Source organism: Homo sapiens, chromosome 5 (genome assembly GCF_000001405.40).
Source record: "Homo sapiens chromosome 5, GRCh38.p14 Primary Assembly".
Lineage (NCBI taxonomy): Eukaryota > Metazoa > Chordata > Mammalia > Primates > Hominidae > Homo > Homo sapiens.
In genome coordinates this window covers 118,254,677-118,266,906 of record NC_000005.10, presented here as the reverse complement: position 1 = coordinate 118,266,906, position 12,230 = coordinate 118,254,677, and the positions used below count along the sequence as shown (strand labels likewise).

Sequence of the window (12,230 nt, the reverse complement as noted above, 5' to 3'; positions counted from 1 at the left end):
TCTTCCATAATGGTTGAACTAGTTTACAGTCCCACCAACAGTGTAAAAGTGTTCCTATTTCTCCACATCCTCTCCAGCACCTGTTGTTTCCTGACTTTTTAATGATCGCCATTCTAACTGGTGTGAGATGGTATCTCATTGTGGTTTTGATTTGCATTTCTCTGATGGCCAGTGATGATGAGCATTTTTTCATGTGTCTTTTGGCTGCATAAATGTCTTCTTTTGAGAAGTGTCTGTTCATATCCTTCACCCACTTTTTGATGGGGTTGTTTGTTTTTTTCTTGTAAATTTGTTTGAGTTCTTTGTAGATTCTGGATATTAGCCCTTTGTCAGATGAGTAGATGGCAAAAATTTTCTTCCATTCTGTAGGTTGCCTGTTCACCCTGATGGTAGTTTCTTTTGCTGTGCAGAAGCGTGGATAAGGACAACCGATGTTCTAGTGCAAATATTGGAATTAGGGTTATAAAATGAGAATTGTTGGCTGCTGGATATTCTTTGATTCTGATGCTTTTTTGAGAGATACCTTATTACCTTTTTTTAGGGAGTCCCCAAGTAATGTTTTTACAATGGCATAAATATAATTTTCTTAAAATATTTATATTAAATTTGAATTCTAAGAAGATGTTTTTCAAGCTATGATTCTGTTACATATTTTTTATAGTTTATTCTATGTTACTAGCTCACTTTGACAAGTGAAACAAAAGGTACAAATAAAAAGTTCCAACTTTCAAAATCTGTAGATCTAGAATGACCTCTGCTTATTAGTCAGTCAAGAATTATTAGCATACTTTGGCAAACAATGAAGAGAGAATCTTCTTATAACAATTTATAATACTCAAGTGTTCATTAACATTTTCTTTATTAAACTATGAGCTCAGTAACTGGCTTCTCAGAACTTGTCAATTATTTTCCATATTCTGTGCTGCACAAGTATGACTTCATAAAGGCAATTTAACAAATAGAAAATCTGGATTGGCTAGAACATTTGTCAATACTGGATTTATGGTTTATAGTGTCTGCCCCAGTCATGCTACTGTTCTAAAACCTTGACACTTAGTCCATCAATCTGCCTATAAAAGGAAAAATCCTATTTCTAAAGTGACAGAATCTATTTGTAGTAGTGCAGTCAGTTAGCAAAGCTGCCTATGAAATACACCAGAGAGGAAAAGGTGAGAGGGAGGGGTATACATTTGTTAAGATTCTCAAAAGATCTCAGTTTGCTGAACAGAGATATTATCCTACCTATTAAGACAATAAAAATACTTCCAGGAGACAATCCTTTTCTTCCTTCTCCATCAAATCAAAAGCAACTTGGTAATTTATTTACAAATGTACGCCTGTCATCACTTGACGAGAGAAAAACTTTTCAGGGAGCAGTAGGCCAAGGTGTTGTTACTCCCACATTGATTTTATGGTGTGTTTGATGGATTTTGCATATGTTGCTTCTAGTGTGGTGAGACTCATATTTTCTCTATACCCCTTCCTTCCTGGATCAAGACACTTTTCCACCGTTCTCCTGGAGTCACAGTTCACATCAACATATGGAGCTGTTGCTATAAAGAAAAAAAATAGATTCTTTAAGCAAAATATACCAGAGTCCTACAGAAATTGATAGACAATATTAGCAATCAAATATTAGCTTCTGTAGTAGCTATTTCACCCTGGGTTTAGGCCTAGAAGAACAATTTTTCCTTCATTTCCTCCTCCTGTAGGTGGAAACTGACTGGCGGACTATCTCGTCCCTACTAGCAGCACTAAAATGGTGATGTCTGCTAGCCACTACTCCCAAAGCCACAATAAACCACCACACACGCAAAAAAAAAAGAAAAAAAAAGGAAACAAACAAAAAAAAACTGTTCATTAACAAAATGCTCACTCAATAAATGAAGTTTTAATCTATCTCCTAGCCTCCACTTCCCACTTCACCTCATTTGACAGATTATTGCTCCTAAATGCTATCTGTGTAGAAATTCTGGAACAACTCCATCTCCTGCCATTTCCATGGGGCAAAAACACAGCGCTAATGGTAGCCTGGGACAATAACCATGAACAAAAAGCAAGAGGACTCTCCGGGCTGGGTAGAGAAGTGATCAGTCTGAGAGTACCTTATAGGAAACACAGGTTGGGAAGTGAGATCTGAGAGAAACAACTTTTATGTATGTTAAGGCAGGCTTAACATAAGGTATAAGGTATGGCTCTGTATAGACAGAGCCATAACTCCATAACTGGAAAGAAAAATATGTCCTTTGCAGGGACACGGATGGACCTGGAAGCCATTATCCTCAGCTAACTTATGCAGGAACAGAAAGCCAGACACTGCATGTTCTCATTCATAAGTGGAGCTGAACAATGAGAACACATGAACATAGAGTGGGGAGCAACACACACTGGGACCTGTCATGGGCAGGGGGTAGCAGGGCAAGGGAGAGCATCAGGATAAATTGCTAATGCATGCTGGGCTTAATGTTTAGGTGATGGGCCGATGGGTGCAGCAAACCACTATGGCACATGGTTACCTATGTAACAAACTTGCACATCTTGCACATGTGTCTTGGAACTTAGAAAATGTGGTATATATACATCATGGAATACTATGCAGCCATGAAGAACAAGATCATGTTCTTTGCAGGAACATGGATGGAGCTGGAAGCCATTATTTTTAGGAAACTACCTCAGGAACAAAAAACCAAATACCTCATGCTATCACTTATAAGTGGGAGCCAAATGATGAGAACATATGGACACATAGAGGGGACCAACAGACACTGGGGCCTACTTGAGGGTAGAGGGTAGGAAGAGGGAGAGGATTAGGATATAAAATTAATGGATACTAGGCTTAATACCTGGGTGACAAAATAATCTATATAACAGGCACCCATGGCATAAGTTTACCTGTATAACAAACCTGTACATGTACCCCTGAACTCAATAAAATTTCAAAAAAAAAAAAAAGGAAAAATAAAAACTGTTTTGCACATCCCTCAAAATTCTGTGTATGCTTCACCATTTAATGGCAATAATTGTTAAATAGTGGGCTAACCCATCTTACTTTTCTAAATGGTAATGTCATGACTAAGGGGTTACATCATCTTAGTAAATGAACTTGACTCCAAACAAATCAGTTTTCTTTGGTTGTTATGATGGCCTCATTGTTTTTTGAATTACTTAGTGCTATATTCTGAATGATTATGCCCTCCCCAGTGTCCTGCCACAGATTCATATGTTGAAACCTAATCGGTAATGTAATGGTATTAGAGGTGGGGACTTTGGGAGGTGAGTCGGTCATGGGGCAGAACCCTCATGAATGCAATTAGTGCCTTTATAGAAAAGACTCTAGGTCAAGCGCAGTGGCTCACACCTGTAATCCCAGCACTTTGGGAGGCTGAGGCAGGCAGATCATGATGTCAAGAGTTCGAGACCGGCCTGACCAACATCGCGAAACCCCGTCTCTACTAAAAATACAAAAAAAAAAAAAAAATAGCCAGGCATGGTGGTGGGCGCCTGTAATCCCAGCTACTTGGGAGGCTGAGGCAGGAGAATCACTTGAACCCAGGGGGCAGAGGTTGCAGTGAGCTGAGATTGCACCATTGCACTCCAGCTCGGGTGACAGTGCGAGACTCCATATCAAAACAAACAAACAAACAAACAAAAAAACAAAAAGACCTTAGACTGTTCTTTTGCCCTTTCCTCCATTTGGGGACACAGGGAGAAGTTGGCGTTTTGAACCAGGAAATGGGCCCTCGCATTAAATCTGTCAGTGCCTTGATTATGGACTTCCCAGCCTCCAGAGCTGTGAGAAGTAAATCTGTGTTATTAATAAGCTACCCAGTTATGGTATTTTGTTTTAGTAGACCCAATGGACTAAAAGGGTTACTATACTTAAAAATGGAGAGATTGCAAACAGAATATAGATTTCTGCCTGCTCCTTAAAAAGCATCCTCATGGCCACTCTCTGTTGGTGCCAAGCCATGACTTCCCTGTGAACAGTATTTGTGGTCTGAGGACAGTTACAGTTTCTACTACTCCCTGGTGTTTCTTAGTTGTCTTTGCTCTGTTGCCCTTTTTTAGTTGCCCTTGCTCTATTGTTATTCTTACAACTGGATCATTTCAGTCTACTCATCTATATTACCTACTTAGCTCCCATGGGCATTTATGTTTTCATCATCACCAAAAATGGCTTATCTATTTTTTATGTTCATTTTTGGAAGATTCTTTCATGCTTAATTTTTTTTGTGTCTCTTCATTAAAATATTGGGTGATGGTTGCTGTTCAGTGATGCATGCATTTTAAAGAAGAAGAGGCGGGTCTTAGAAGAATAACTAATGACACAAATTCAGATGAGCATCCTTTGGGCATTACCAATATTTTTCTCTAAACCAATCCTAATGTATGCATAGCTTTATCAAGTCCCATTTAAGTGACTCAAACTCCAGAATGCTTTTAAAAATTCAATTGTCTATATTAGCTTAAAGATCTTGGGACAGGAATTTTATTGTTAGCATGCCCACACATTCGTCCTTCTAACTGGGATGAATGAAGTAACCAGGGAGCACGTTATAGGTAGCAAGAAAGAGAAACAATACTTAGGGGCATAGTTTCTGGTGTGAATAGAGTTTCAGTGTATCAACTAATCAATCCATAGACATGTGCCCAATGGCTAATCTGTAGCTAACCCTGTTATGCACTTAATAATATGGTATAATAAAGGAGAATGTGTTATCTTTTGATTATTAAAAAAGGAGAATTAATGAAATTAGATTGTTTGTTTTTTTAACCAGATATTTTGAAATACCAAATGACAAAGGTAATAATTCCCATGAAATATTTTTATTATAAAATCAGATTTATTTTTTACTTGTTAATAGTTTTAGACCTTCCATAGTACTTTATCTTCAGCAGGGGTATAGTTTTAGCTTTCAAAAATAAGTTTTATTAGTTTTCTAGTAAAGGACAACTGTCCTTTCATTTTTCTACTTTACAAATGAAAAAAACAAAGTGAAGTTCTATGGAAGCCAATTTATTGGCTTAGTCAGTTTTGACACATAGGGGTCTGAGCAGAGTTTGTGCTTCAGAGAAAAAACAAAACCGTAAGAAAACCTATCCCGAGTGTCACCTCCATCAGATAGTGCTTTCTTGCTTTATGTTATTCCATATTGGTCAATTGGTTCTTTAAAATGTCATCAATAACTGCTACAAGGGTACTAATCTATTTTAACTGGTCTCTTAGGTAGTCATTTCAATCTTGGGTTCATGTTACTTTTTTTTTTATCCCTCCATTCATTTCACCTCTGAATTTATAGTTATCAGGTTTATAAAAGTGACCCAGAGGCCTGGGGTTTGGTATTGAGTTCATCATCAGCTCTTTCTCTATAAATATTTCACAACTCTGATCTTAAATACATTTATCTACAAGTATTAAATATTAAAAATTCATTTGGCTACAGGCAAAATTAAAGGTAGGGTAACTGGTTCTTCATACATAAACTAAGCATTTTTATATAGAGAAATATTTCCTAATAATAATTTCTTTACCCCATACTATCTCAAAGAAAAGCAAGCATAAACAGAGGCCCAGGTAGATAATAATTTAAGGAGAACAAGTATAAAAAATGCAGCTAGGGAGATAATATCAATCTCTCTTATTCCCCATTCTAATTTTAGGTTTCTTTGAGATAGTGATAGATCCATTCTTTCATCCTACTCTTACTTCAAACAGCTTTTCATGCCTCACCCTGACTGCAATGGTACCATTGGAATCTCAAGTTTTAGGACTCAGGTTTCCTCCAATATTGTCTTGGCATCAGAAGAGAAGAAATTCTACAGTCAATTATAGCTTCCCTGACATATACACACATTACCCTCACACAAAGTGTTTGATTTAACTCTTTATAAACAACGAGAGAACAAGAACAAGAATCTTGCATTTTACTTGGTAAAGCAGTGTGCCTTTAGATGCTTATAATTATGTCTAACAATGTTCATCTTAAGAAAGGGAAACTATTTGGAAGAGAACATCAAAGTGAAAAAAAAATAAGTGACAAGTATCTTGTTCATGAGGATAGTGTAAACAATTCATTGTGGATATCTGTAAAATAGTTAAGAAGCATCTAGAAAAAAATAGGGTTTCATCTGGTCTAAATAATAATCAGCATTCATGAATATGCAGCCAATCTCCAGCATGTGGAGTCCACTGGGCACCAGCATATTTTCTTCACTCAGTCTAGTTCCTTCAGTGTTCTACAGTCATGCTGGAGACCAGATTTAGGTAAAATCCAGAGAAGGTTCAGTTTCTACCATAAGAGGGTACAATCTTATTTATTGATATTGGCTACAATCTTATTTATTGGTATTGGCTATATTATATCTTTCTTGGTTTACTACATGTTACAAAAATTATCCTAAAACTTGACGTGATTGTGATACAAAAAGAGAACAGCATTTTTGCATTGTGTAGTCTTAGGGAGAAAAGGTTCCTGAGGCTCAGAGTCACTGTGTTGCACAAGTCCACATGGCTTCATTCACATGGTATTCTACCTATTAGCATTTCGTAGAGAGGAGTTCGTCTCAGGGAATGATGAAGGACCACTCATGATGCATCTGCAGGAAATCTTTTGAATAGGGACCCCTTAGGGATTATTTTCTTTAAACACACACACACACACACACACACACACACACACACACACACACAAATCACTGCTATTTCTAAAATACCTGAAAATTAAACACTAAATAGTGTCAGAACCAAGTAGTCAGCGGTCTTCAATATTGTTAATAATTAGGGCATTTTTTGTTCATGTAAAGAAAAACATAACCTTATATAAGAGGAGTCGTTGTAATTTAAATATTCACTAATTGAGATTTTATTTAATTATAAAGGCAGCTCAGTAAACTCTTACTTTAATACTACTTATATGTGTAAAATATTATAGGGGTTACACACACAGTTCATTTCATGGCTGCTTGATTTTCTCTGTGGTTTTCCAAAGGTTCAGGATCCACAGGTTGGTAACTGTTGAGATAAAATATCACATAAAAGCAGAGGGTCCTTCACAGGCATAATTGTGTTTCATTTATTTTCATTGTGAAGAAAATCTAAATCTGAAACTCACTTATATAATATTATTTAATGGATTAAGAAAGCATATGAAGCAGAACATATTGAAACTCTGTCTGTAAATGTACCAGGTCTGATGAAAGAATAAATTTCACTTAAAAAAAGAACAATGGAAATTTATGTGATATGAATCACATGCTGAAGAATACAGTTTCTGCAATGTTTGTACAAGGGGAGCAGTCACTAGTAGTTATAAGATAGAAGTGCCCAGAATCAATAAATTAAAAACAGTTTTTTATCATGGTATTTTTCAAACAAAAGTAGAAAATAAATAACACAATAAACTGTGTGTCCATCATCTAGCTTCAATAATTATTAACATCTTGCAATTTTATTTCATCTATCTTCCCCATTTTTCTAAAGTATTTAAAAAATCAGAAACTATAAATTCTTCAAAATATATTTCTAATGGCGAATGACTTTTTCATATTTACATGATCATTATTACAACTAATATTAACAATATCGTCTAGTATCCAGTCCATGCTCAAATTTGCCAAATTATCTTTACAGTTGTTCAAATTACAATTTCACCAAGGTCTATACATGTACTTTGTTAATGTTTGTAAATTCTTTTTCTCTATAGCAGTTTCTTCTCTCCTTTTTTTCCCCTTGACATTTATTTATTGCAAATGAAACTAGGTCTGGCGGGATTTTTTCACATTCTAGATTTCTCTGGTTGCTTCTTTGTGGCATCATTTACTGATTTACCTAATTTATTCATTCTCCATATTTCTTGTAAAATTTCAATCTGAAGCATTCGATTAAGCTTCACTTTTTTTTGAAGCAAAAAACCCTCAAAAGACACTTCAGGAAGTGCTGTGAAACATCAAGTGCATCATATCAGGAGGAAGCCTCACTTTTAGTCAGGTGGGTTCGGAGCTGTAAGCCCCATCAATCTATTCCAGGGTTTCTCCTAAGACTTTCACAAAATGGTTGCCCATTGGCAATCAGTGCTAAGATGTTTGTTTCCATTAGAGATCACAGTATTGTGATTTTAAATTTTTTATTCTTTCTGCATTTGTAGCTGAAATACTTCTATAAAGAATAATTTTCCTTTCATCAGTATTGTTCCCTCCAAACATAATTTGTAAAATGATGGTAAAGGTTTGATTATTTGCCTTTATTCATTAATTTGCAGAATGAGTTGATATTTTAGCAACTTCACAGTTAACCAATGATTTTTAAAGAAATGCTCACTGTGTTCTGATCAATTGCAAATATTATTCTTTCTGGTGCTCAAATTACTCAATTTGTAACCAATCAGAGTTTATTGGCTCTTGTACCTTTTTTTTTTAAAATACAACTGCAATAGTCTGAAATCTTTCTTGTTTTTTTGGTACAAGATGTTCCAGGCTCATTTTGAATATTCCAAGACCTGGAATCACCCATTGCTCCAAAAAGCCTTCGTTCATTTAGCAGAAAATGACAATTTGATTCCAAAACAAGTACTCTACAGTTGACTATTGTTACTGAATTACCATTTATTTTTGACCTTTCAGAACTTGAAAATTCATACTTCTTTATATAGAGAAAATATTTCATGACTTCATAGGGATATTGGAAACTCAGATTTCAGATTATAGGGTACTCATTTAAATTGTTTTATGTTCACATCTCTTTCTCTTTATCTGAAAATCTTGGTTCCTATTGCAGTTAACAAAATTACTTATTTCTTTTGTCCTACAATATACTCATAATAGTTTCAAAATAACAATGCCAGAATTTTAATTTATGATTAAATCACTGAGTACAATATAAGATTTCTTTGTTGTTCTTTTTGTCCTTAGGATATATCCCACAAGGATTATAATGAAAATATTGTTTTTTAAATCTGTCAACATAACTATTTTTATGTAGCTATGCCACCAACTTAATATACAGTTAGATTCATTTTCTTGAATTACTTTTCAAAATATAGGGTTGCCTTTTGTTATTTATCTTTATTTTTGTTTATTAAAAATGTAAAACATTTACAAGGCTCCAAAGCCAAAGCTCAAGATGAGTTTAACTTTCATCTCTATGTCTGCCTCCTTTAATAGGTGACTTTTTTTGCTATTCTTAGTTTATCTTTCTGTTTTTTTGTAATATATATGTATATACACATATGCATGTACCTATATATGTAAGTGTATATATACATGAGTGTATATCAATACCTACATATGTAAGTGTATTTGTGCTTACATACACACATACACACATACTTCTATCTCTTCTTTTTATGTAATAGTAATAAAACTGTTTTGTACCTTGTTTTTTTAAGCCTAATAATTTATCCTCGTGATCACTATACCACAGTAGACTGAGATTGTCCTCGTTCAATTTTACAGCTGCAGAGTACTCCATTAAAGTTTATTCAAGCAGTACTGTAATTATGCACATTGATTTTTCCCAGTATTTTCTTATTACAAATACTGTTATGATAAATTATTTTTGTGTATCACATTTTGTACTATTGCCAGTGTATTTTTGGGAAAGTTCCTAGTAGTGGGATTGCTGAGATAAAGGGTAATTGTGTATGTAATTTTGCTAGATATCAAATTCCCTTGGGTTGAGTCATTTTACATTCCCACCAGCAATGTATGAGAATGATTGACTCCCCACAAGCCAACTACAGAGTATGCTGTCAAACTTTCAGATGTTTGCCAATTGGATAGATGAGAAATGGTATCTGATAATAGGTTTAATTTGCATTTTTTATTATGAGTGAGAGAGTGAGAGCGAGCATCTTTATATGTTATTTATGTTTCTTTGTAAATTTTTCATTGGGCAATTGGTCTTTTGGTCCTGAAATATTAAATTTTCTTTGTATTTCTTAGGGTATGAACTTCTTATTTGTAATATAGTCTTGATAATTTTTTTCTAGTTTACAATTTGTCTTTTTACTCGTCTGTGTCTGTGTTTGCCATAAGGATTTTTTTTAATGTACAAAAATGTGTCTGCCACTTTCTTTATTACTTCTTGGTTTTGAATCATAATTAGGAAAGTGTTTTCTACTCTGATTTATAGTGAAATTTTCCCATTTTGTCCTACTACCTGTATGGTGATATTTTTAATGTTCCAACCTCTGATGCATTTGAAATTTATCCTGATAAATTATGTGAGGAATGATTCAAAATTACACTATTCCATATGACTATGTAGTTTTCATAGCACTGATCTGAGATGCTGTGCTAATTATATTCCAAATTTCCCAATGCTCTAGTATCCATTTTCTGAATTTCCTACTCTCTTCTACTAGTATGTCTGGTCATTGATACGTCCATAGCATATAGTTTAATTATAGAGACTTTATAATATATTTTAGTATCTGGATGAAGTAGTTCCCCCATACATTGTAAGATTTCTCTGGATATTGCTTTATGGTTAGTTTTCTAAATGAAGTTTAAAATGAACTTGTATAATGCTACAAACAATTCTTATGATATTTGTATTGGGATTATATCAAATGTATTATGTAGCTTGGAGGAAATTGTAATTTTTAGAATGCTGTGTCTTCTTATGCAAGAATATAGCATGTATTTTCACTTCTTCAAGTCTATTTTTGTGTCTTTCAGAAACGTTTCATAAAAAAATCATTTAATAAAACATGGTATATTATGGGCACACACTTTAGTTATAATGGCAAGTAGGCTAAACTTTCTAACTTGAAATATGTACTTTGGTTAATATGGAGTTGATGAATGTCTTTGTCATGGTAAGTTTTTGCTGAAAAATATACATAAGTCAGTAAACCTATCCCTATTACTTTATAAATATTTGTTTATATTCTTTTTATCAGACAATTTTAAATGAAGCTGATAATACTTTCATTTGACTCTACTGAATCTATTACCTCATAATAAAATACTTCTAGTCATAAATTCTAATTTACAAATAAGGTGGTCTTAGGGTCAGGTAAGCCTTAGCCTTTGTATTACAATCTCCTTATTTCAGTTTTAATTGACCTGTATATACAGTTAAATAAAAGCAGACACAGATTCTCTACTAATTGAAAAGCATCTGAATCCAAGAAAAAAATTGATACTTAGCTTTATTTTCTTTACCTTTTGTTTGTGTCTGCATGATTCTTTTTGACTTTTTGATCAAGGTAAATAAATTGTAGATTTAATAATGCAAAAGGCAGTCCATACATCCTATACAACAGAAAAATTGTCTAAAACACATACAGGTCCTTTGGTTGAACTCAGTATTTATTTTTTATTTTTATTTTTTTGAGATAGAGTCTTGCGCTGTCACCCAGGCTGGAGTACAGTGGCCCAGTCTTGGCTCACTGCAACTTCTGCCTTCTGGGTTCAAGTAATTCTCCTGCCTCAGCCTGCCGAATAGCTGGGACTACCGGTGCGCGCCACCATGCCTGGCTAATTTTTGTATTCTTTTTAGTAGAGACGAGGTTTCACCATATTGGCCAGCCTGGTCTTGAACTCCTGACCTCATGATTTGCCCGCCTTGGCTTCCCAAAGTGCTGGGATTACAGGCATGAGCCACTGCACCTGGCCTGAACTCAGTATTTAATGTGTAACAGAATTGTCTTTGTCTCTTTGGAGTTCTAGGTTTGTCGAATTTCCAAGCCAATATTGTGTGTGCAGTGGTTCTCAAATGGAGGTTGTCAGTATCTTGCCATCCATGTGGTATGTGGGAGTGGTTAGGGATATTTTTTTTTCTGACCTTTTAACTGAGGGGAAAGACATTATTGGCATTCTGTAGGGAGGACCAGGAAAGCAAATGCCTTGTTACAAAGGCAGAATCCTCTGTGGTGAAGAATTGACTTGGCCAAGTTCTGGGTTAGGTATTGGAACTCTCCTGGGATATCTGAAACCCTTATTTTTGTTTTTCATGGTTAGAACTCCATTAATTTTGCATTCAGAATTCCTACTGATTCAGATTTCTATTGAGGGAGGACATAATATTTAGGGCTGCAGGGGAGATTAGAATCAGACCAGTTGCTTATTTGTCATATTATTTATGTGTGACCGGGAGCAAAATTGTGTGCCTTTTTATAGTAGAATCCATAAATTAAAAGACATCATATAATATGACAGAATAAAATTTGATATGTTGATACAATATATTAATTTATATTAACAAAGCTATATTTGTGAAGGCCTGT

At 34.7% G+C, this 12,230-nt stretch overlaps 1 long non-coding RNA gene across 1 annotated transcript in view; it reads right to left on the bottom strand.

The window, feature by feature from the left end:
• Positions 1-844: 844 nt before the first annotated feature.
• Positions 845-12,230, bottom strand: part of LINC02147 (long intergenic non-protein coding RNA 2147) — a 535,702-nt gene continuing 524,316 nt past the window's right edge. Inside the window, exon 3 of the long non-coding RNA NR_104997.1 lies at positions 845-1,553. This is a non-coding gene — a long non-coding RNA (long intergenic non-protein coding RNA 2147). The remainder of the gene's footprint in view (positions 1,554-12,230) is intronic.